The 26150-nt window shown below is 45.1% G+C and overlaps 1 protein-coding gene, 2 long non-coding RNA genes, 1 other non-coding gene and 2 pseudogenes across 6 annotated transcripts in view; 3 read left to right on the top strand and 3 right to left on the bottom strand.

Moving 5' to 3' along the window:
* LOC112267908 (translation initiation factor IF-2-like) overlaps positions 1-26150 on the top strand; it is a 92138-nt gene that overhangs the window by 16767 nt on the left and 49221 nt on the right. The window lies entirely within an intron of this gene.
* On the top strand, positions 1756-24995 carry LOC105374312 (uncharacterized). Its single transcript, NR_153417.1, has 2 exons — positions 1756-1949; positions 24817-24995. It is a non-coding gene; the product is annotated as an uncharacterized LOC105374312 (long non-coding RNA).
* LOC124909424 (uncharacterized) lies at positions 9378-13336 on the bottom strand. 3 transcript variants are annotated; one of them, XR_007096054.1, is made up of 2 exons: positions 12690-13336; positions 9378-9862 (listed from the first exon to the last, which is right to left on the bottom strand). It is a non-coding gene; the product is annotated as an uncharacterized LOC124909424 (long non-coding RNA). The 3 variants fall into 3 exon arrangements; XR_007096053.1 differs by lacking the exon at positions 12690-13336 and adding an exon at positions 10739-11068; XR_007096052.1 differs by lacking the exon at positions 12690-13336 and adding an exon at positions 10739-11068 and having other exon boundaries at positions 9378-9865.
* Positions 14690-15292, bottom strand: RPS24P9 (ribosomal protein S24 pseudogene 9; annotated as a pseudogene).
* MIR548I1 (microRNA 548i-1) lies at positions 17446-17594 on the bottom strand. Its single transcript, NR_031687.1, has one exon. It is a non-coding gene; the product is annotated as a microRNA 548i-1 (primary transcript).
* RPS3AP14 (RPS3A pseudogene 14) lies at positions 22124-22971 on the top strand (annotated as a pseudogene).

The raw sequence follows: 26150 nt of genomic DNA on the forward strand, positions 1-26150 counted from the left end.
TTGAATTAAACAATCTTTTATATTCTGTCCAGGCGCAGTGGTTCACACCTGTAATCCCAGCACTTTGGCAGGTCGAGGCTGGCGGATCACCTAAGGTCAGGAGTTCGAGACCAGCCTGGCCAACATGGCGGAACTGTCTCTACTAAAAATACAGAAATTAGCCAGGTGTGATGGCACACACCTGTAATCCCAGCTGCTTGGGAGGCTGAGGCAGGAGAATCATTTGAACCCGGGAGACAGAGCTTGCAGTCAGCCGAGATCGCACCACTGCACGTCAGCCAGCCTGGGTGACAGAGCGAGACTTTCAAAAATAAATAAATAAATAAAATAGAATTCTGAATTTTATTTTTAATAATTATTTTATAAAAAGAATGTCTTGTTTTTTGGAGTTGTTGAATTTATTGAATTGACAAAAATTATGTACAAGAGGGTACAACATGATGTGATTCAAGTATGTATACATTACAAAATGGCTAAATCAAGCTAAATAACATATCACCTCCCAGACTTATTTTTTTATGGTGAGAACACTTAAAAAATCTACTCTCTTAGTGATTTCCAAGTGTATGATATGTTGTTATTAACTGTAGGTACCATGTTGTCCCATAGATATCCTGAACTTATTCTTCCTCTCTAAAAATGACATTCTCTGTCCTTTGGCATCTGCCCACTTCCCCACCCTGGCAACCATCGTTCTACTCTGCTTCTGTGAATTCAACTTTTTTCTTTTCTTTTTCTTTCTTTTTTTTTTTTTTTGAGACAATCTCACTCTATTGCCCAGGCTGTAGTACAGGGGTGTGATCTTGGCTCACTGCAGCCTTGACCTCCCAAGCTCAATCAATCCTCCCACCTCGGCCTCCTGAGTATCTGGGAGTACAGGCATGCACCACCACGATCCACTAATTTTTGTATTTTTTTGTAGAGATGGGGTCTTGCTATGTTATGCAGGCTGGTCTCGAACTCCTGGGCTCAAGCAATCTGCCGGCCTCAGCCTCCCAAAGTGCTGGGATTACAGGCATGAGCCACCATGCCTGGCCGAGTTCAACTTTTTTAGATTTCACATATAAGTGAGATCATGTGGTATTTGTCGTTTTGTGCCTGGCTTATTTCACTTAACATAATATCCTCCAGGCTCATCCATGTTTTCTCAAATGGCAGGATTTCCTTCGTTTTGAAGGTTGAATAGTATTCCATTGTGTACGTACACTACATTGTTGCTGGAAGTGTAATGGAGGCCAATTGGGGGAGGAGGGGGAAAAGATTCACTCTAAGTCTAGATGCTCCAGCACCCACCCAGGATGTGTGCAAGGAAGTGTAGGATGCTCCTGGTCTTGCAAACTGTGGTTTGTGGGACTCCAAAGCCCCTATCCTTCCACAGTGCTTTCTGTCCTCTTATCACATTTCCTTGGAGGAGAATCCAGCCTTGGTGGAGAGCCCTGCTCTGGCTTTGTCCCTCAGCATGAGATGGCAAAGGATGGTGCTGCTGGGAGACCCTCATGTCTGCACACTGGGGGCTGCTTGCCTTCTCCATTCCTCCTTCAAGTATCTGAGCAGCTCCTGTGTGCCAGCTGCTGGTCTACAAGATGGATCGGTCCTTGGAGATCACGCTGTAGCAGAGGAGGCAGGCTGTAGCCCACAGGCCACAACCAGCCCCCTGCCTGTTCACACATATAAAGTTTTATTGGAACACAGCCACACCCATTTCAGTGCATATTGTCTGTGGCTGCTTTCCTGCTACAATGGAGAGTTGAGTAGTTGGGACAGAGACCTATGGCCTGCAAAGCTGAACTATTTACCATCTGGCTCTCAAGAAAAGGGAAAAAAAAATGCTTATCTTTGTACCGCGACAGTCTTAGATTAAGAGGACTTTGTACCACCCTGACGTCCCAGGCGGCCGTGAGTCCAGCCACCCCTGAAATGTACACAAGTCTGGGCTAGGGTTGCAGCAGGTGAGTCCCAATTTTGCAGGTCTTTGGTATCAGGGGCACAACCCAGGATTTTGAGTGGGGTTTCCTCACCACTGTGGCTGGGCACTGGGCTAGTGTGCTTTCTGATTTTTGTATGGGGAAGAGAAAGGAGGGAGGAAATGGCAACTTGTTGCCCTGTTCTAACATTTTCCTAAGATGGGTCTCCAGGTAAGGGCTTGGGATCTCACCTTGCACAGCTTACAAAACCCAGTGAGGCCAGCTGTCTTGGCGCTGCCACTCTGAGGGATGGAGCCCCCAAATTACTAGGAAGGGAGATAAAAGAATGGTGTCTGCAAGCACAAGAAGTGGCGTTATTGAAATTAACGTTTCCCCCAAGTTTTATAATGTCTAGGCATGCATATTTAAGTGTCTGTCTCAAAGGCTCTTGCCAATAACCAGATGGTGCATTTAATTTCCTTTTTTTTTGTTCTCTGAGCAACATGCAGCTTCCTGCACAGCCCTCCTTGCAGGCAACTGCACTGAGGTGACAGTCCTCCTGACTGCCAGCACAGATCCCCAGGGCCCCTGAGAGCCCTGTATTCTGGGGGCAGCCTTTCCCCCTTCTATTTGGCCCCAGCTGGAAGGGGGCAGGTTACCCACAGGGCTCCTGCCTTAGCTTAGCTTAGCTCCTGCCTAAGCACAGGGCTCCTGCCTTAGCTTCTCTAGGGAGTCTGGCTCCCTCTGACCCTCTAGACCTCACCAGCTGAGGATCAGAGCCCCGGGGCAGGAGCCAGGGCCAGGGGGCATTGGGGGGTGGTTTGAGAGTGCAGCTCTGGAGGGGGGCAGGGCGAGCCCAGGAAAAGCTGCTCAGGGGAGACTGCAAAGAGATGGCAGAGTTAGGACAAGAGGGCCAGGCATGGTGGCTCACACTTGTAATCCCAGCACTTTGAGAGGCCCAGGTGGGCGGATCGCCTGAGGCCAGGAGTTTGAGACTAGCCTGGCCAACATGGCGAAAACCTGTCTCTACTAAAAATACAATAATTAGCTGGACATGGTGACACCTATAATACCAGCTACTCGGGAAGCTGAGACATGAGAATTGCTTGAACCCAGAAGGTGGAGGTTGCAGTGAGCTGAGATTGTGCCACTGTACTCTAGCCTGGGCAACAGAGCAAGATTCCATCTCAAAAAAGTCAGGACAAGAGGAGGAGGGAAGAGAAGGGAGCTTTGGGGCAGCAGCCAGGACCTTAAAGGCACAGAAGAGGAAGCTTGGATTTCCAATTCCAAAGGACATGAAGTCACACACCTTTATTTAACCTGCTCCAGGTGAGGCTGGGCTTTGTGTATTTTCCTTGTTTTCCTTTTCCTTGTGTTCAGGCTGTTGTAGAAACAGGTACACAGGGGCTCTGTGTGGCGCCCTGTTCTGGTGGCCTTCAGGAAGCATGGGGTGCCCTGGTTTCCTTGGCTTCGTGTCCACCTTTCCTCCTGCCACCCCTGACTGTGCCCCCCACCTTATCCCTCAGACCATCCTCCTGGAGGGGACTGGCCAGGGCTTGTGTCCTTGCTAGTCTCTAGGAAGGAAGACTCTGGCTTGAAAGCTTGTCGGCTTAAGTTGCAAGGTGTAGGTGCCTGGGAAGTCATGGGCACAGCCCTCTTGACTGATCCATTCATGTTTTTCTTTTCGACTCTGTTCTAAGTTGTCCTGATGGAGGGGTAAGCCCCTGCCTTCTGCCTTTCCTGCCTTGGACTCTTGCAATTGGACCAGATGAGAGGGTCCATGTGGTCTGAGAATTCAAGCAATGCAGGCCAGGCATGGTGGCTCACACCTGTAATCCCAGCACTTTTGGAGACCAAGGCGTGTGGGCCAGGAGTTCGAGACCAGCTTGGCCAAAATAGTGAAAACCTGTCTCTACAAAAAATACAAAAGTTAGCCGGGCTTGGTGGTGCACACCTGTAATCCTAGTTATTTGGGAGGCTGAGGCAAGAGAATCACTGGAACCCAGAAGCAGCAGGTTGCAGTGAGGAGCAGGTTGCAGTGAGGAGCAGGTTGCAGTGAGGAGGAGGTTGCAGTGAGCCGAGATTGTGTCCCTGGACTCCAGACTGGGCAATAGAGCGAGACTATGTTTAAAAAAAAAAATTTATATAAAAAGAAAAAACAAAACATCCTCTTGATTTGCTTTTCTTGATCTTGCTTCTCAGAGGTAACACTGGCAAGGGTTGGGGTATACCTCTCCACACCTTTTTCTTTGATTTCTTTTTATTTTTTATTCTACATTCTGAGATACATGTGCTGAATGTGCAGGTTTGTTACATAGATATACATGTGCCATGGTGGTTTACTGCACCTATCAACCCGTCATCTAGGTTTTAAGCCCCGCATGCATTAGGTATTTGTCCTAACACTCTTCCACCCCTTGTCCCTCACCCCCGACAGGCCCCGGTGTGTGATGTTCCCCTCCCTGTGTCCATGTGTTCTCATTTTTCAACTCCCACTTATGAGTGAGAACCCGCAGAGTTTGGTTTTCTGTTCCTGTCCACACCTTTTTCCTCTGTGCACTCAAGCACATGTATTTGCACGTAAGTGTTTATTGTAACCTTTTTTAAAAAGTAAAAATGGAATAATGCTACATTTATTCTTTGGAAAGCTTGCTTTTCAGGCAGCATGTCTTTGACATTGTCTCACGTTGGAACCTGGGTACTACCTTCTTCTCCCAGCAGGTATTCTGATGTGTGGATGCACCATGCTTCGTTTAACCAGCCCTGCACCTATATGTCTTTGGATGGTTTCCGCCTTTTCCCAATCACAGACGGTGTTCTGATGAATTTCCTTACACACACCACTTGGTGCTCTGTGCCTGCATTTCTGTGAGATGTTCCTGGAGGTGGGCTGTCTAGGTCAGAGGCGGATCTGTGCTTAATTTGCATCCTGTGCAAAATTCCATCCAGTCATCCGGCTCCCCAAGGGCTCACATGGTACTGTCCTCTGTAGACATCATCTTCTGCAGATGATGGCATGACCGCCTCTCTTTCTTTTACTCACACCAGTCTGCACCCTGGTGTCCTGGGGGGTCCAGCCCCTACCTGCTTGTCTGCCCACACCCCACCGTCCCCCCAGCCCCTGCTAACAGGGACTCTGGCTTCTGAGCTCTGGCAGACTGCCTCACTCTGGAGAAGTCTGCTTTCTCAAACATTCCTGGCAATGTTACTGCAAATCTCGAGGCCTGCATTTGTCTTTTTCAGGCCTCAGTTTCCTCAAAAGTAAAATGGGGATAATGTGATGCTACTGTCTGCATCCTAGAGCTGCCATGAGGGTTCAGTGAGATCACTGTTGAGAGCAAGTTCACAGCGCCGGCCTTGTGCGCAGTCAGCACCTGTGGGGCAGGGCTGTTGCTGATACGTGGTTGACTGTCATTGGTAGACTGTGGCTTTACCAGGGGCATTGTCTTTAGTGCCGAGCCCAGAGCCACCCCTAGTACCTGCCGTGTTTATAGAGTGATTGAGTGTCAGGGTCAGAGACTGGGGCAATGGCAGCAGAAACAGAGGAAAGAAGTGGGGCTTCTAATAGGTCCTGAGACAGTGGCCCTTGAGATGAAGACTTCTTGCCAAGGTCTGGGGCTGTGCTGTGTGTTCTAGGCCCGAGACTGGAAGCTAGGCCTGGCTGCAGCCCCCGCTGAGCTGGGGAAGTGCAGGTCAGCATCCTGCTTCATTAGGACACCTCCAAGCCCAGCTTAGATGTGGATGCCAGCTGACCCCCTCTTTGCTCTGAACCCAGACAGAGGACAGGGAAGTGTGCAAGGGTGGGGACCCCCTCGTCACAGCCCTTGACTCTGTAAGGCATATGGGTTTGTGCACGTGTGTGATCACAGCCATGGCTTCTCTGTGAGTTTCAAGCTCGGGGTTGTGTTTATGCAGGGTTAGGCTTGCCAGGTAAAATACAGGAAGTCCAATTAAACCTGAATTTCTCATTAACCACTTTTTTTTTTTGGTGCAAATATATCCCATGAAATATTTGGGACCTGCTTACCCTAAAAATGATTTGTTGTTTGTCTGAAATTCAAGTTAAACTGGCATCCTGTCTTTTCACTTGCTACATATGAGAGTTCCGTGTGGGGGTTATCAGTGTGCATTTGTGAGTTCCCATGTGAAGGACTCTCTCCAAGTGTCTGTAGGTGCCAAGATGGAGATGGACAGAAAAGATCCCCTTGGGCCCCTTTAGTGGCACCTAGAGGCTGTGGGGTTGGGCACTTCAGCCCCAGGGGTCTAGACAGCACTGTCCAGCACCTGTGTGCTCCTGTCTTCTTCATGGGGGCTGACTTCCCTGCCATCTCTCTCCAAATACAGTGGCAAGAGCTATCCCATCCGCCCCCATTTGGAGCTCGGCTGCCCAGCCAGACAAGATGGCAAACAGTGTGCAGATGGCTGCAAAGCTTTCCCCAGCTCCTTCTGCAAGGGGCCTGCAGATGAAATGGAAGCCCTCATCCTCACCACCTCCCCCTTCCAGAAAACCCAGTCAACAGCCACTTCTGAATGCTGCTTTAGAAGCTTCACCCTCCTGGTGATTAAACCACCCCAAACAAATAAAGCACTGCATTTCCACCATGGGCTTGTTCACATGCACGCAGCCAATTGTCTTGGATCCATCTGTGTGCCTGATTCATCAGGGTGAGGGGTTCTCCTCTGAGGTGCTTGCAAAGAGCTGCTTGCAAAGAGTTGCTTAATTTTCATCTGAAAGACTCTCTGTAGAAACCAGGCCCAGCTTTGGAAGAAAGCCTTTTCTCCCCCTTTAGCAAACTCTGTGTCATTATTTTTTCTTTCTTTCTTTTTTGAGACGGAGTTTCACTTTTGTTGCCCAGGCTGGAGTGCAATGGTGCAATCTCGGTTCACTGCAGTCTCTGCCTCCCAGGTTCAAGCGATTCTCCTGCCTCAGCCTCCTGAGTAGCTGGGACTACAGGCACCCACAACCATACCCGGCTAATTTTTTTTTTGTATTTTTAGTAGAGAGGGAGTTTCACCATGTTGGCCAGGCTGGTCTCGAACTCCTGACCTCAGGTGATCCACCTCGGCCTACCAAAGTGCTGGGATTACAGGCATGAGCCACCATGCCTGGCTGGAATTCTGTGTCATTCTGGATACTTATCATGACTTCAAGCATCTAGGACTCTGTCCTGGGTATCCTGAGCAGTCCTGTATGAGGTCGGTGCTGTGATTATCCACATGTTCACTTGTTCTCTCTGGCCATTTTCAGGCTCTTGCACTTCCTTTGCTCTTTTCCTGCCGCAGGGCCTTTGCACATCCTGCTCTTTCTGCCTGGAAAGATTTTCCCTCTCCCTGCCTCTTCACCTGGTCACGGTCTCATCTGACAGTGGAGTCACTACATCCTCAGGGACGTCTGGCCACACTGACTCAGTCACAGCAACCCCCTGTTATCTGCTTTCATGACACCAGGTGCCTCTCTGTGGTAGACACTAGCTCAGCTACGGCTTCCTGTTTCTGTGCGTGTCATCCTTCCCCTTCAAGACTGTGGTCACCGTGAGGGCCAGGGCCATGCCTGTTCCTGATTCTCATTTGTGTCTCTGGTGTTTAGTATATGCTTACCTAGAATTTGATTAATGAATGACGGCATACCCATTTTACAGATGAGAAAGTTGAGGCTCAAGAACATTGTGTAACTTGCTCGGTATTAGATAGTGATGGTTTGAAGCGATCTGGCTGGTCGCTGGGTGCACACTCTTAACCACTTCACTATGGTTCTTCTCTCATGGTAGCTCTCCAACAGCAGGAGTGAGAGACAACTTTAGGACAGGTGTAACCAGAATCCCAGGGGTTATCCTAGAAGGTGGTGTCAGGAACATGCTTGCCTATGGGCCTTCTTACTGTATTGCATAAAATACTCAGTTTTTCTGACTCACCTTTAGTAAAGACCTTAGCAATATTTGAAGCACAGTTGTCTGTAGGAAAGGGTGGGTGTTTATATTTTTTTAAAAAGGAGTCTATATCATATTTACCTTGTGGTCTGCCATGCCCCCCGCTCTTCTTCAGCTTCAGTTATGCAAAATTCACACTTCTCCTCTTGTCTGCCTCTCTCTTACCTGTTCAGTTTCTTTTCTGTGTTTGAGATTGCTTAGAATTTTTCCCCATTACTACAGCCTGCTTCCCACCTGTATCCCCCAGCCAGCTTGTTCTGGATTTTGTCAACAACAGTTCCAGCGTTTAGTGAGGGCTGGACTGAAGGAAAGCCTTGGAAAAGGCTGTGTGATGAAAGGTGAAGATACCTAATGAGCAGGCAGACATCAGGGTTAATTCAAAGGCTGGAAGAAGGGCTGACCTGGGGGACTGGAAATGTCTTTGAGCTGAAGGTCATGTGCAGGTGGAACGAAGAGGGTGAGCCTTTTGGGGTGAACTGCAAGAATTTGATAAGATCCCTGTCTCCATGGTTGGGGAAGTCTTGATAAGCATCCTCAATGTGATGGAAGGATCAAGGAACCCGTGGCTCTACCTGTCCAGCATGGCAGCAACATGACACAGCCAAGTTATTGATTATTGGTTGCCCAGCTGTCATCACTCAACATCTTCTGTTAGTTATAGCTGTAATTTGCACTAGTTGTCAATGCCAGTTTTGACTTTCCTAGTCAATAAAGTGTTCTGAGAGTGGTGACTAAGGCTGAGCACTACCCATAATCATGAGTATTACAGAGGCAAGCCCCCTTGCCCACCCACCTGCAGGTGATGACACACCCTAGGAAATCATTCAATTCTTTGGAGGACCCTGAATAAATGCTCAAGTCCATCTGTTCATCTGTCCATCCATCCATCCACCATTCCATCCATCCATCCATCCAGACATGCATACATCCATCCACCCACCTTACCATCTATCCACCCACCACCCACCCATCTATCCATCCAACCCACTCTTTTATGCACCCAGCTATCATCCACCTACCCACCCACCAACCCATCTATCCATCCACTCACCCATGCATCTATCTACCCATTCACTCATCTACCCATCTATCCACCCACCTGTGCATCCATTTATCTATCCCTCCACCCCCTCACCCACTCATCCATTTCTCCACCCACTCAGCCATCCCTTCACCGACTCAACCATCCATTCATTCATCCACCTGCCCGCCCACCCATCTTTCCATCCACCCATCTATCCACCCACCCACCTATGTATCCATCCATCTGCTTGTCCTTCTGTTCATTTATTCCACAAAGACTCGTTAACCACCTGCTAGATTCTGGGGAGGTACCTGCTCTAGTAATTGAGAGCACGGTCTCTAGAATATGATTCCCTGGGCTCAAACTGAGCTGCCTCCTAGCTAGCTGCTTGGGTAAGTTATAGAAACTGTGCTTTGATTTTCTTATCTGAAAATTGGCTATTAATAGCTTCTACTCTTGCAGATATAGTGAGGATTAAATAAGATGTCACGTTAAAAGTGCATCATCGACACTCAATAGAGATTAGGTTTTACCATCCATTATTATTCTTGGCAGATGCTGCAGATAACGTGGAGAGCATACGAAAGACACATGTTTGAACCAATAGTGACATACAGGTGCTAAGTTCTGCAGTAGGGGAAGGGCAGAGAGCAATGGAGAGGGCCTGGCCCAATCCTGGAGCCTCAGAAAAAAGTTCCTCGTTGAATTGCTGTTTTAGCTGAGACTTGTGGGATGGGTAGTAGTTGGAGATCCCAGACAGGATGTGACCGAGTTAGCCAGGGAAAAATTTGGTCCTGGCACCCATGGCAGAGTTGAGTGATCCAATCCTTCTTTCTCCTCTGGCTGGAAGTCCACCAGATCTGGGAATGTCAAGTTGGGGGAGGGGGCTGACAATGATCATGACCTTCACCTGTCCTCACATGTCCTCTGTGTATCTGCAAAGCCTCTGCCTCAGTCTCCTCTTCTGGAAAGTGGGATTGGAAACCACGTCTGCTTCTCTCCCAGGACTGCTAGGAAGACAAGATTAGATGGCAGGTGAGAGCTCTTTGAAAATGAAAACATTCTGCTATTTGAATGCAAAGTGTTCTTCTTTGCCTGTGATGTTTCCTAAGCTATGAACTCATGCTGGACCTCGAAGCTGTCTATTAAAAAAAAATAGCAAAGTGGTTGGGCATGGTGGCTCATGCCTGTAGTCCTAGCACTTTGAGAGGCTGAGGGGGGCGGATCATTTGAGGCCAGGAGTTCAATACCAGCCTGGCCAATATGTGAAATTCCATCTCTACTAAAAATACAAATACTAGCCAGGTGTGGTGTCATCTACCTGTAGTCCCAGCAGCTCAGGAGGCTGAGGCACAAGAATCATTTGAGCTCAGGAGGCAGAGGTTGCAGTGAGCTGAGATGGCGCCACTGCACTCCAGCCTGGGTGACAGAGCGAGGCTCTGTCTGAAAACAGAAAAAAAAAAAAAAAAGCGAAGTTAACACTTCCTCCATCTCTCCCGTAGGGGAGGCAATTTGTCAAAGATTGTTGTTGGATTTTACACACAGGGAAATCTAAGGAAGGTGTGGAAACCAGACCAGGACTCCAGACTCTGGTCTCCCTGTTTACAGGGTCTTAAATGGCGGAGCCACTTTGGGTTCTATCCACAAGATTGCTTTGTAAAAAAACCAAGAAACAAACAAACAAAAAACTCAAAAAAACAGCCCTGACCTAAATATTCACAAGGTACCTTAGGCAATATCTGCAAACAAAAGTGAATGATGAGTGGAATCTCTCATCTTTACAACTAAGACAGCTCCAGAGTTGAAGCAAGTGGAAATATCTCTAGACAGAGATTTGGGCAGGTTTTGCCAGTTACAAACTATGAGAACCTGGGCAGGTTTACCTCTCTGAGCTTCTGTGACCTTGTAAAATAGGCTGCATTGCACTAAACGTGCAGGAGGAATCCCAGGATCCTCCTGTGCACAGGGCTGGTTTCTTCCCATCCTTTTCTTTGTTCTGCCTCTCTCCTCCTCTCCAAGAGATGAATACATCTGGACCCAGTAGGGGCCTATGTTTGCAAAAGCTCGCAGGTGATTCTCATGCAGCCAGCCTGGCTCTGGCACTGAGTTCTTGGACACTTCTGGAGGCACATTTACTAGTGAGGAAGGTCACTGTGTGTGAAAGGCATGATTCATCTTCCATTCCTTTCTTCCATGAAGCAAGGTGCATGGGTCGACTGAGCTGGGAGAGTCCACAGTGTCAGCCTCCCCCACGCTTCCCTCCCTCCTTATTCCTTGTGTGCTGTACTTTGTCTTGATTTCCTGTACTCCGCACCAAGCCAGGAGATGGTAAGATCTCAAAATCATTTTTTTGGGAAATGGGATCAAGAGGGTTTTGGTTTGCTTGTTTGTTTGAGACAGGGTCTGTCGCCCAGGCTGGAGTGCAGTGGCATGACCTTGGCTCACTGCAGCCTTGACCTTCTGGGCTCAGGTGATACTCCCACCTCAGCCTCCTGAGTAGCTGGGACTGCAGGTGCACACCACCATGCCTGACTAATTTGTCTATTTTTTGTAGAGATGAGGTTTCACCATGTTGTCTAGGCTGGTCTCAAACTCCTGGGCTCAAGCAGTCCTCCATCCACCTCGGCCTCCCAAAGTGCCGGAATTACAGGCATGAGCTGCTGTGCCTGGCCAAGGTTTTTATTATTATTATTATTATGAAAAATTTTCAATATACATAAAAGTAGAGAGACTAGTTTAATGAGCTACCATATACCCATCACATAGGTTTAAAAACTATTAAAGTGTGCAATATTTACTCCATTTTTTCTGAAGTATTTAAAAAATTGTTTACAATAGTTATGTAATTGCATCATGATATTCACCCCTACATAATTTACTTTCCCTCTAAAAACATGAGGGCATTCTTTATATGATCATTGTCATACCTAATCAAATCACCAGTAATTCCTTAATATCCTCTAAGATCAAGTTTACATTCAGATGTCTTGTCCTCAAAATGTCAATTGTGATTATTTTTTTTTTGAGCAAAGATAATAAGAGCTCAAGATTTAATGACAGAGATTCCATGTTAGCCCTGATGTCTAAGCTCTGTGGTCCATTGTGGCTTTACTTGAAAGTCTCAGGCTAGGCGTGGTGGCTCACACCTGTAATCCTAGCACTTTGGGAAGCCAAGGTAGGTGGATCATGAGGTCAAGAGATCAAGACCATCCTGACCAACATAGTGAAACCCTGTCTCTATTAAAAATACAAAAATGAGCCAGGCATGGTGGCGGGCGCCTATAGTTGCAGCTACTCAGGAGGTTGAGGCAGGAGAATCGCTTGAACCCAGGAGGCGGAAGTTGCAGTGAGCTGAGATTGCACCACTGCACACCAGCCTGGGTGGCAAGAATGACACTGTGGAAAAAAAAAAAGTCTCTCACTGTGGTCTCATAATAAAAGGACACTCCATTTCCCATCTGGGCCCTGCTCCTTAATGTTAGCCCCCTCCTGTGGGGAGGAGGGGGTGACCTTCAGCACAGGTTGAAGCATTCCCAGGGCTGGCTCTGATCCCGATAAAGCCCATCGTCATGAATGAATGCTTCCCTTCCAGGTTATTCTAAGTATTGTAAATAGTGCACTTGGAGAGTCCTCATGATGCCTGGGATGGTAGTGAATATTTATAGGTTTCTTTTAGTGCCTTTTTTTTTTTAGTGTTTTCTATAGTTCCATGTTTCTACAACCCTTAGGAACATCAGAATCATGTGTGTGTGGGTGCTTATTAAATAAACCAGTTCCTGGAGCTCACTCCCAGTGACTCCCAGTGTGATGATTAGGGGCTCAGCTAGGACCTACGTTTGCAAAAGCTCCCAGCTGATCTCATGCAGCCAGCCTGGCTCTGGCTCTGGCTCTGGCTCTGGGAGCTGGGTTGGGAACTAGTCTTTGGTGCTATTCTGCTGAAACTTCAAGTTGGGCTCTTTGACTCCATCTTGTATTGTCATCACTTGTATTCAGGTCTGTTCTTCCCCTGGATTGTAAACTCCTTGATGTCTGGGTCATCTCAGCTCATGAGCTGAGCTTTCAGTGGGTGCTCAGTGGAACAGGTGTTGAATGGAGTCAGGCAATAGGGAGGCCAGCGTGTGTTGGTAAGTGAGAGACAAAAATCATTTTAAAAAGAATCTTTTTGCCCTTCAGTTGTGTTTTCCATGAGTTAATGTGATTTACTCTAGTGGAAGCCAGTGCAGCTTAAGTGGAGTTCTTGCCCTGAAATGGAGCCAGGTTATGGATCAGCAGAGCTGCCAAAAGCATCTTGGGGGAAATGTTTCTGTGTCACCGTCAGTTGATGGAACTCAAATTTTCACTCCCGTTCAACACCACGTGGGGGCCATTCTGACTTCTGCGGAGTGGGTATGATCAGATCTTCTGTAAAAGTGTAAGCGAGGAGGCTGGGCACGGTGGCTCACACCTGTAATCTTAGCACTTGGGAGGCTGAGGTGGGTGGATCACTTGAGGCCGAGAGTTTGAGACAAGCCTGGACGACATGATAAAACCTCATCTCTGCTAAAAATACAAAAATTCGCCAGGCATGATGGTGCATGTCTGTAATCCCAGCTACTCAGGAGGCTGAGGCAGGAGAATCACTTGAACCTGGGAGATGGAGGTTGCAGTGAGCTGAGGTTGCACCACTGCACTGCATTCCAGCCTGGGTGACAGAGCAAGACTCTGTCTCAAAAAAAAAAAAAAAAAAAAAAAGTGTATGTGAGGAAACTGGGATTGAGCTTGGGGGTGTTGGGGGATGGAGGTACTTCATCAACTGAACAAAAACCATGGGATACCAATGCTGGAGGAAGAAGCATCATCCTCAGTTTCTACTAACTCAACCACGCATGAGATGGGGACTTGGTGTCCAAGAGAAAAGCCTCTTTTTAGGTCTTCAACCTTGATCAAACCATTTCTGAATTCCTCATGCACGTATAATCAGGTGCTATGAGTGGTACTGATTGGATAATCTCTCTGTCATTTCCTGTGCTAGGAAGGAAAATACATGTACAGCCAACTTCCTTGAGGGTTCGTTCTTTTGCATCAGGGTGTCTCAAACTCCTGCCCTTAAAACACCTGCAAGAGAATCATCCAGGCAGCTTGCTCGCTCTGCATGCAGACCCTTTAGAATCAGAGTCAGAATCCCTGGGGCTGGAGCCACAAAATGAAATGACATTTCAACAAGTTTGTCATCATGTGAGAGAGAATAGGTGAGTATTTGGATACCTATAATACAAAGTAGATTCAAAAAGAATGACTTGATTATTTTAAATGTTGTGTTTTAAAAAATTTAATACAGAAAAGGCTGGGCATAGTGGCTCATGCCTGTAATCCTAGCACTTTGGGAGGCCAAGGCGGGTGGATCATTTGAGGTCAGGAGTTCAAGACCAGCCTGGCCAAAAGGTGAAACCCCATCTCTACTAAAAATATAAAAATTAGCCAGGCAGTGGTGGTGCGTTCCTGTAATCCCAGCTACGGGGGAGGCTGAGGCAGAAGAATCGCTTAAGCCTGGGAAGCAGAGGTTTGGTGAGCTGAGATCGTACCACTGCACTCCAATGTGGGTGATGATTGTTTAACCACCACCAAAAGGGATTCTGAGTCCAAATATTAATATGAAGGACATTGGTGACATTGTCTCAAAAAATTAATACCGAAAAGTACAAAAAGGGAGAGAAATCACCCCAAATCTCATGACCCCAAGAAATAAACCTCCATAATATTAAGTGAACAGCATTCCTTGCTATGCACAAAGATGGCTAGAGACATGAACAGATACTTCTGATCACACAAAATGAGATTTTAAAAACAAGAAGTAGCAAATTGAATGCTGTGTAAATTTATCAGAAGAAAAAGAAATGGAAGTGAAACTGAACGAACTGGTCAACTCAGATAAATGTAGTTTTTCCTCACTAAAAATCAGTTTCTAGAACATCTAAGAAATCAAAGATGATGAAAAATATTAAGATGTATTATATATATGTAGAAGTCTTTACAGTTGACTGATCATCTCATGAAAAATTTGTACAGTCACTGCAAATAAAGTCATTGCAAAATCTTTACTCCTTTTGCTTTTTGCCAGCACTGACATTGGCCTTTGCAGTCTCTTGACTTCATTCTGCCCTTGCATTCCTTTTGCTGTTTTTTTGAGGTCATCTTCTTCTCATGCCAGCCGTGTCTTGCAAGTCTATGTTTGAGTTCATTTTTCTTTGCATAATTCAAAGAACCAGATAACATGCCAAAACCCATTGTTTAACCACCACCAAAATGGGTTCTGAGTCCGACTATTAAGATGACACCCATTGTGGTCTTGTACATTTTGTTGCCTTCCTGGGGTGAAGGACATTGATGACCATTTGTTTCCTCTGTAGCAGTCGATTGGTCACGAACTTCCTGGTCCCGATAGTTACTGTGTCATTCATCATGGTGGTTGATCCTCAGGTAGTTAGGGAGGAAAATAAAAAAGAAGTTATATATTTGAAACCACGTTTCAATTTTAGACCTGATTAATTGGCTTAATAAAGGGCATTAGCACTTCTACTTCCTACAGTCCCTCCCTTTACCTCTGGAAACTAGTTATTTCTAGGTTGTTTTATGTTGTTAAGGTTGACCACCTTTTCTTTCTGTTCTGCAATAGTAGTCCTATTTTTAAATGGATTCACCTCTCATCACTAGCCTTTTGTCATGGTCATTCAATTCACAAGTTGCTTATTTTGTAATTTCTTGGCTGACTAAATTTTATTATGAAGACTTTTTTTTTTTAAAGAGCTCAGAAATACTGTATTCTTTAAGTTCTTGAACATGTGATAGTGTCTTTTGCCTATTTTGATTGGGCAATAATTTACCTGGCTATAAAATTCTTGGATTATACTCTATTTCCCTTAGAAATTATAGGCACCCATCCACTGACATTTCATTGTGTTTCTTTTTTTTTTGAGATGGAGTCTTGCTCTATCACCCAGGCTTGAGTGCAGTGGTGCAATCTCGGCTCACTGCAAACTCTGCCTCCCGGGTTCACAGCATTTTCCTGCCTCAGCCTCCCGAGTACATGGGACTACAGGTGCCTGCCTCCATGCCTGGCTAACTTTTTTGTATTTTTAGTACAGACGGGGTTTCACTATGTTAGCCAGGATGGTCTCGATCTCCTGACCTCGTGATCTGCCGGCCTTGGCCTCCCAAAGTGCTGGGATTACAGGTGAGCCACTGTATGAGCCCAGCCTCATTGTGTTTTGTACTAACCCCCTTTCCCTGGCCTCTTCCAGCTTGTCTTCTTCTCTTCTAGTAGTTTCTTCGTGAAGAGGCCATGTGCTATATTCCATGAGATATTTCACACTCAAAGAAGACTTCTTTTATACTCTTCTGATAATTTGTCTGGGAATCATTGTCTTGATTTATAAGGGAGTTTGTAATAAATACAGTAAAAGAGAAACACACAACGTATTTTGAGATATCAGAGAAGGGAGAAACCAATTCTATTAATATTTGGGGTTTGCAGGGAAGGCTTAGTTAAGAGGTAACATTTGAACTAAGCCTTGAAATAAGGGAAGGATTTGGACATGCAGTAATGGGGAGAGAGTAGAAGCAAGACATGATGGTTAGTGTTATGTATCAATTTGACTGGGTTGTGGGGTGCCTAGATATTTGGCTACACACTATTCTGGGTGTGTCTCTGAGGTATTCTGGATGAGGATAATGTTTAATTGGTAGACTGAATAAAGCAGATTGTCCTCCCCAATATGGGTGAGCCTCATCCAATCCACTGAAGACCTGAACAAAACAAAAAGGTAGAGTCACAGAGAATTTGCTCTTTTTACCTGATTATATTTGAGCTGGGACATCAATCTTCTCCTGACTTTAGATGTGGACTCGAGTTGGAACTATATCATTGGCTGTCCTGGGTCTCCAGCTTGCTGGCTGCAGACTCCAGGACTCCTTAGCCTCCATAACCATGTGAGCCATCCCTTACAACAAAACAATCTGTCTCTCTCTATGTGTATAGCTCTACCTCTATCTCTCTGCTCTTTCTCTGGAGAACCTAGAGTAATACACAAGGTTATATTAGAGAAGAGGATGATCCAAGGAAAAGCATGGAGGTGGAAAAGTGCAAAGAGCATTTGGGAAGACTGGGGTCCTGATGGGGAGTTTGGATTTCACTGTGTGTAGCATAGAGAATCCTTGAAAATATTCAAGAGGTGAAAATTGTATTTGTGGAAGAACACCAGGAGTATGTGAAAAGAAAAACACTCACTCCGTTTTAACTCCACCGAAGTGGGCATCAAAGGGATGCACTGGGGACATGGGTTGGAGGGTAGTTGAGGCCATATCTGGAGGATCTTTACTTCTAGGCTGAGTCTGAAGTTATCTTTCTGGGGAGTGGGGGATTACAAATCTTTGAGCTCCACTCAAGAGATGGTTTTGCTAACAATGGCAGGGCGACGGTGGTGGTGGTGGGAAACTGGTATCATGAATTCTAACTGGGCTTCTGTTATTCTAGCCAAGAAAGTTGGGGAATGGATTTTCAGTAGAATAATACAGATCTGGGAATCAACTGCATGGAGGAGGTAGTTATAGGTGATGAGATGGCTCAGGGACAAAGTTTGGTAGAAGGAGAAAAGATACTAGGCTGGTACAAAAATAATTGCTATTTTTGCCATTACTTTTAATGGCAAAATCCGCAATTACTTTTGCACCAACCTAATAGGGTGCAAACTTCAGAGCCATCTGCATCAGAGGGATTGATGAAGATCAACAAAGTTTGGGAACACAGGAAAGGAGCGGGGAGGGTAATGACTTGAGGGCATAGCAGGGATAATCAAGGTTTTTCTTGTTAGCATGTGGAGACTTTAGCATGATTATATGTTAAACGCCTGGCACATACATGGTGCAAAATATTTATGAGTGAAATGACAAGTGAAGGTGGTGAGTCATGGGAGTTCCAAGGAAACGGGTGATAAAGGGAGGTCTCAAATGAGGCACAAGTGGAGAAGGTAGCTTGGGAAAGGAGAAGGATGCTTCTCCTTATAAGATGGGAAAGGCAGAGGAAGAGGGTCAAGATACAGTGATCTAGGGGTGAGATGGAAGTGAGTTGAGAGAACTCAACTCTGGGCCCTGAAACCCCTAGGGATGGGTTTGGGGGACTTTGAGATATGGAAGAGGTTTAAAGTCAATTGTTATAGCAAATATGGTTCGGAATTTATTTGTAATGCTTAAAAATATTGCTGAACAGAAGTGAAGTCTACCCTAGAGTTGGATGGTGAGATTATTTAGTGGAACTACCAGATCCATGTTGTGATTCTTTCCAGTATCATTCAGCAGCCCTTGGGCAGTTGCAAGGCAAGTCATCAGTGGGGTATGGAAATTTTCCAGGTGGGTGTGGTTGAAAGCAGGGAAGAAAGAGTTTAGGAGCACATTACAGGAAGGTGACTGTAAGGTCCAGGCTGAGCAGGAAAGTAAAGCAAGAAGGAAACATGAGGTTGTGAAGAGAAGTCTAGAGGGATGAGGAGGCAGGAGTGGTGAACAGTTGCAGGATGTAGCTAGAGTGGCGATGTTAGATCTTGGGGCCAGAGAGCTTTACAATGATTATGAAGATCAAAGGACATCAGAATCAAGCTATAAAGAGCCACTGTTTGATGGGATGTGAGGATGCTGCAGGTGGATATCTGCACATTGATGGTGAGAGTATGGTCACCCTGGCCCTGCTGGGTCTTTGCTAAAGAGACTGTGCTCTGTTCTTGGGGCCGTTTTCATCACCTGATTAGAGCAGTGGTCCCCAAATGGTGTTCTTTGGACCATCTGTACAAAATGTTCATAGGTCAAGTATAAAATGGAAAAACAGAGAAAATGTCACAGAAATGTGTCCATTGGTGAAAGACCACCAGCTGTCCTTTTTGGAGGATTGTTCTGTATTCTAAAAATGTATATATTCTATTCTATTAAAACATTTTTGTATTTGCATTTTTTCTCTTTTATGAAATGCCATGGGGTAGAAATTTGTAATGTATCCAATTCTCCTGTCTTCATGCATTGCCCTGTGGTGGGGGAGGGGATGTGGCTAGCACTGGCCAAGAGGCTGGGGGCAGAGGTGCAGTGTGAGACTTCTAGCCTGGGTCATTTAATTCTTAGTACAAGACTCTCTAGCATTCTTCTCCCTCTGTTCCCTGCTTGGTGATACTCGAGGTAATGCAACCCCCATTAGCCTTAGTCTTAGGGCAGGTTTGATGGAAAACAGAGCATCCCATACCTCCCTGCAGATGTAGCATGAGTGAGAAAAACAACTTCTGATGTTTGAAGTTACCAAGATTTAGGAGTTGTTTGTTATTGCAGCAAAACCTCACCTATTCTGACCAATCATGTTGGAATTTCTGTGTGTGTGTGTGTGTGAAACTGGTAGTTTAAAAAATTTCCTTCTTACCAAAAAGAAAAAAAAATTGCAACCTTATGTTGGTTCTCAAATTAAAAAAATATTTTTACTGGTTTATAAAATAGAAAAATCTGAGAATCTGTAGCTTAGAGAACTACAGTGTGGGATGTCTATAAAGACCAGGTTATTTTATCAGCTCCTAACACCCCTTAAGAAAAGCTTAGCCAAGACTTGGAATATTTCAGTCTTTCCCATTCCACATTCCATGGACCCTTGAAGAGACATTGATGAAATGGTGCAGCCATGAACCACCCTAACTCAATCCTAGTGGCAGAATCCCCCTTTTACTGCAGAATGAGCTTCTTGCTACAGTGATACTTGAACCCCTTAGATATATCCTGTACTGATTATATTAAAACACGACCAATGCTTTTGCTTTGTTGTCCCCCAAATTAAACACATTAAGCATGAGAACCCAGAGAATTGGATTTAGTGTAACTGATTCCAAAGTGTCAGTAAGAACATAATTAGGTTATATTTTTCTCCAGTTCAAATAAAAGAAAATTGACAATAAAATGCTGATCAATATGTGTAGCTCAGGAGGTAGAGCCTGCTTTGAGATGCAGAAGTGTTTGTTTTTTTTAGATCTATATTATTGAGTAAAGAAAAAATCCATCTCTCTTTCCTAGAGGGGAAGACTTTCAGAGCTGGGCTTGGCAACAGCCTGACTATCAGAGGCTGAATTAAACAAATAGGTACCTCCCTGGAGTGAATGGTGCATTTCTCCTGTTCGGGGAACCATGCTTTTATGCTGGAGTTTGCTTTCTGTCTTGGTCTCCGGATGTGTGTATCTGTGGGTGGATGTCTGCATGTAAATGGCAGTGTATACCTGTGTGGGTGTGTACAAAATTCCCATGTGAATCTCAGCTTTGTGGGGATCTCTGGGTGTTGAGCCCAGCAGATGCCATTTGAAGAAAAATCACTTGAAAATGAGACAGAAAGAATGGAAAATAAATCCTAGCTCTAAAGGCACCAGGCTGATTAAAAAAAAAACTCTGGATCTTCTTTGTTTTGGACTCTACCTACCTCCAAATGACATTTCTGTTTCCTATGAGATGATTAGAATGAAAGAGATCCTGAGCACGAAAGAGCAGATACTGTGTGATTGTGTGTATGTCAGCGTGTCAGCTGTGACACTGCTGACATTTTGGCTCAGCAATTTCTCTGTTCTATGTGTGGGGGTTCCCTGTGCATTTTAGGATGTTGAACGGCATCCCTGGATCCCTGGACTCACTGGATGCAGTAACACAACCCCCCCCAAGTAGAGACAAACCGCATTGTCCCCAGATATTGCCTAATGTCCCCAGGGGGCAAAATAGCCCCATCTGAGAACTGCTGCTTTCATAAAGTACAATGTCAGGTGAAATAGGTGGAGGCTGTTTGTAGTCAGGGGTTAGTAGAGATGGAAGAGACCCCAGGAATATCCTGGAAGGGGCTCTAATATTTTGTTTCTTGAATTGAGTGTCGGAAATATGGAGATGTTCAGGTTTTGTTGTTGTTGTTGTTTTGAGGCAGGATCTTGCTCTGTCACCCAGGGTGGAGCAAGTGGCACCGTCATGGCTCACTGCAGCCTCTGCCTCCTGGGATCAAGCAGCCCTCCCACCTCAGCCCTCCTGAGTAGCTGGAACTACAGTCATGTGCCATCACTGTTGCCTAATTTTTGTATTTATTTATTTTTTGTAGAGAGGGGGTCTCATTATGTTGCCCAGGCTGGTCTCGAGCTCCTGGGCTCAAGCAATCTGCTCACCTCGGCTTCCCAAAGTGCTGGGATGACAGGCATGAGCCACTGCGCCTGGGCAATATGTTCAGTTTGTAAGAAAAGTACTGTGTTGACTTCTTCTATGTGCACATTTCTTTAAGTAATAATTCAATAAAGCATTTAGAAAAATTGGTCATAATAAGAGTGATTTGTAGAGTGATTGGCATGAAAGCTGATCACCTTAATTAGAACTACTCTGAAATGAGCACCAGGGGCCACCAAGAGGAGCCTTTCAAGGTGTCATAGCCAAGGAGAGGAGTGTGTTGTGTACATCTCTGCATAAAGGATTTGCTGGTTACATGGAAGGATGAAGCCTCCTTCTGAGGAGAGAGGCAGCAAAGCAAGTGGAAGCCCAAAGCATTGAGCTTTCTAAATGGACTTTGCTAAAATCCAAATGCCCATCACCAGATGAAGAGATACACCGATTGTTGTCTACCCACATGGTGGAATATTATTTGATCACAAAAAGGAGGAAACTACATACGCTACAGCGTGGATGAACCTTCAAACAGCTGAAAGATCACATTCTACATGATTTCATTCAGATGGAAATCTATAGAAATAGGAAGTCGATTAGTGGTTGCTTAGGGCTGGTAGGGGCATGGGAGGATAGGGGGTGTTAGCTAAAGAGTATGAGATTTCTTTTTGAGGTCATGAAATGTTCTAAAATTGACTGGTAATGTTTGTGTATATCTCTGAATATATTAAAAACCATTGAAATGTAAAAAATGCAAAGAAAAAACAGCCCAAGTTGCAATTTTATTCAACACTTAATTGGCTTTAAAAATAGATTCCAGGCTGGGCATGGTGGCTCACACCTGAATTCCCAGTGCTTTGGGAGGCTGTGGTGGGAGGATTGCTTGAGGCCAGGAGTTCCAGGCCAGCCTTGGCAACATGGCAAGACCCTGTCTGTACAAAAAAAGAAAAAATAAATATCAGCTGGGTGCAGTGGCTCACACCTGTAATCCCAGCACTTTGGGAGGTTGAGGCGGGCAGATCACCTGACATCAGGAGTTCAAGACCAGCTTGGCCAACATGGTGAAACCCCGTCTCTACCAAAAATATAAAATTTAGCCTTTTGGTACTCTGAGCAGCACCATGGCAGTTGTTAAGAACAAGTGCCTTATGAAAGGTGGCAAAAAGGGAGTTAAGAAGAAAATAATTGATCCATTTTCTAAGAAAGATCAGTATGATGTGAAAGCACCTGCTATGTTCAATATAGGAAATATTGGAAAGACTTGGTCACCAGGACCCAAGGAACCCAAATTGCATCTGATGGTCTCAAGGGTCTTGTGTTTGAAGTGAGTCTTGCTGATGTGCAGAATGATGAAGTTGCATTTAGAAAACTCAAGCTGATTACTGAAGATGTTCAGGGCAAAAACTGCCTGACTAACTTCTATGGCATGGGTCTTTCCTGTGACAAAATATGTTCCATGTTTGAAAACTGTTCAACAATGATTGAAGCTCATGTTGATGTCAAGACTACCGATGGTTACTTCTTTCATCTGTTTTGTGTTGGTTTTACTAAAAAACACAACAATCAGATACTGAAGACGTCTTATGCTCAGCACTAACAGTCCGCCAAATCCAGAAGAATATGATGGAAATCATGACTTGAGAGGTGCAGACAAATGACTTGAAAGAAGTGGTCAATAAATTGATTCCAGACAACATTGGAAAAGATGTAGAAAAGGCTTGCCAATTTATCCTCTCCATGATGTCTTCATTAGAAAAGTAAAAATGCTGGAGAACCCTGGGTTTGAAAGGCATGGAGCTTCGTGGTGACGGTAGTAGTTCTGGAAAACCCACTAGGGACAAGACACATGCTAAAGTTGAATGAGCTGATGGATATGAACCACCAGTTCAAGAATCGTTTAAAGTTCAGACTTAAAACAGTGGCAAAGAAGAAGTCCTATTTGTGAAAAACAAACAAGAAACAACAATGAAAAAAGCAAAATTAGCCTGGTGTGGTGGTGCATGCCTGTAATCCTAGCTACTCAGGAGGCTGAGGCATGAGAATCACTTGAACCTGGGAGACAGAGATTGCAGTGAGCCAAGATTGCACCATTGCACTCCAGTCTGGGCAACAGAGTGAGACTCTCTCCAAAAAGAAAGAAGAAAAAAAAAGTATCCAGGCTTGGTGGCATGCGCCTGTAGTCTCAGCTACTCTGAAGGCTGAGGTGGGAGGATAGCTTGAGGCCAGGAGTAATTTGAGGCTGCAGTGAACTATGATTGTGACACTGCACTCCAGCCTGGACTGCAGAGCAAGACCCTGTCTCTTATACATACATATATACATACATATATATATATACATACACACACACACACGTACATACATACCCAGGCTCTACCTCTGGTGATTCTGACTCAGTAGGGTGGGGTATCCCCTAGGGATCCTACTGTTCAGCCTGGTCTGGGATCCACTTTTCACTGGGAACTGAGACACTGGCTGTGAGCCTTTCTGTCCTGAGATGTAGAGGTCATGGCGATGCAGGTTCAAGCTTAAGGAGACCTGACTGTGCATTAGGTATTGTGCTGAACATCATCTCTTACTCTCACAGCAACATCCTTAGAAGGTTAATGATGTGTCCCTGCTCTACAGATGAGCAACTGAGCTTTCAGAGGAGTTTAGCTTGTTCAAAACTTACTCTTCCTATTGGAAACTTTGTACCCTTTGACCAGTGTCTCCTATCCCCTACCTTTCCTCCACCCCAGCCCCTGATAACCACTGTCCTACTCTCTATTTCTGTGAGTTCAACTTCTTTAGATTCCACATATAAGTAAAATCATGCAGTATTTGTCTTTCTGTGCCTGGCTTATTTCACTTAACAGAATGTCTTTCAAGTTCACTATGTTGTTGAAAATGACAGGATTTCTTTCTTTTTTAAGGGTTAATAGTATTCCATTGTGTGTATATAGTACATTTTCTTTATCCTTTCATCCATTGATGGACACTTAGGTTGATTCTACATCTTGGGTATTGTGAATAGTGCTGCAGTGAACATAGGAACGTAGAGATCCCTTCGACATATTGATTTCGATTTTTTTTGTCTATACCCAGAAGTTGGGTTGTTGGATTATATGCTTTGAAATCTATAGCACAGCAGCGTGACTATAGTCAATAATAATGTATCTTTCAAAATAACTAAGAGGGTACATTTCAAATGTCTCATCATAAAAATTGTCAGTAAATTAGGGGATCTACATATTAATTAGTTTGATCTAATCATCCCGCATTGTATACACATATCAAAACATCACATAAATGTGTACAATTATGATTTGTCAATTAAAATAACGTTAGTTAAAAAAATAAGTAACTTGTTCAAAGCCCCAGTTGAGATTGATGGAGCTGGGACATGCACCAAGGCTGTTGCTCTCAGGCCTGCAGAGTCCTTGGTCCATGAATGTTGAAGCCCTACCTGAGATTTCTACTGAGATCAGTGTAGGGATTCAATGTCTCAGAATCATCCCATCCTCCAAGGCCCACAAGTCCATGACTGCTGCCTCTACCCCCAACCCTACTGACCTGAAATGTGGCCCCTGCTTTCATTTCCGGGAGCATACAACACTTACACCAAGCATTGATGGGTTTTGTTGACTTCATTTGAGATGTGGGGCCATAGAGAGGGTCCCATGATCCTTGCTTGGTGTTGGCCAACTCATTGACTTCTCTCCTTTGGCTTCACCCTTCCCTTTTCTACTCACCTCCCCTGTCATGTATTGCTCTGGGAATTCTGAGCCCTGGTTCCTTTATTTTGCAGATAACCTTCACTCTTCTCTGCAATGAATCCCAAAAGTATGTAGTTGAGCTGACTGCAAGGTGCTTGAGATGCAAGAGACTCCACAAATGGGATTCGGCCTCTGGAAAGTGGTGGTAGTTCCAGATTTATGTGGATGTTACTTTGTTTTTCCCTATAAAATATATTCTTTAAACTATCAAGCTCTTGGCTCCTGGCTGCAGTCCTTTGCTGGTGGCAGTGGGCTGGGTACTGCCACTGGGGAGAAATGCTGCCCACTTAGAGAAACAGAAACTGGTTCTCTTTAAGAGGCAGAGGGAGGTTTCCAGTGCCAGTTTGTTTGGAGGCAAAATGGCTGTTGTATTAAAATTGCCCAAACTTGGGCTGGTGCCTTGTGTGTTTAGAGCTCAAAGCCACGATTGTTTTCATTTTTTTTTTTTTTTTTTTTTTTTTTTGGTGGTCGGTTTTCCATCCTTTTGCTTGGCAGGTTTCTGCTAATAGCTTCAACCTCAAGAGTCCCATTATACAGACACTAATAGCACCTACTATGTGTCAGTCTGTAGTGCCTACTATGTACCAGGCATTGGAGATAATATTATGATGAATAAGATAAACATGGCACTTGGAAAAGAGAGTCCAGTTCCCAATCTCAGCCCACCCCAAAGAGAGGCCAGAATTGGGCTTCCAAAGATCTCAGATGCCCTTGCATCATCTCCCTGAAGAGGGCGGGTGAAGCTTTGGTGTCTGAAGAGAATTTGGCTGGACAATCCCCAAGGTTTAGAATGATGGGAAGGAGCTGCCATCTGTGTTTAAGGTGAGAAGCGGGGGAGTGGCTGGATATCAGAGGAAGCCAAGATGAAGAGAAGGTTTTTGTGAGTTCCTAGGCATAGTGGAGACCTGTTATAGTGTGGGTCCCTGGGGCTGAGCCTGTGGGTCAGTGGAATGATGCTGTGAGGAGGGTCTTGTTATAGCAAGATAGCCCAAAAAAGGCTGATGGATCATGAGCAGCTGGAAGAACGGAGAGTTCGGGGGATGTAGTTCCTACCTGGCTTTCCAACAGTGTGTAAGCCCAGAATTCTTACATAAGCCCATGGAGAAGTGGAAGGAATGCTGGTAACGACAAGATTGAATTCTCCACCTGCCAGGCATCCAGGGACTCAGAGCAGATTTAACTGAAGTTACAGAAATAGGAATGTGACATTTCCTACATGCGGGTGTGCTGGAGCAAATGTATTCCCTCTCAGGTTTGTGGGGAAGGAGAATGCTAACAGACAAGACTCCAGGTTTTCGCTCTTAAACCTGGTGCCTACATATGCATTTTCTACTGGATGCAGACAGAAGCTCCATATAGACATATC

The sequence above is a fragment of the Homo sapiens genome, chromosome 3 (assembly GCF_000001405.40).
Source record: "Homo sapiens chromosome 3, GRCh38.p14 Primary Assembly".
In the NCBI taxonomy this organism is placed as follows: Eukaryota; Metazoa; Chordata; class Mammalia; order Primates; family Hominidae; genus Homo; species Homo sapiens.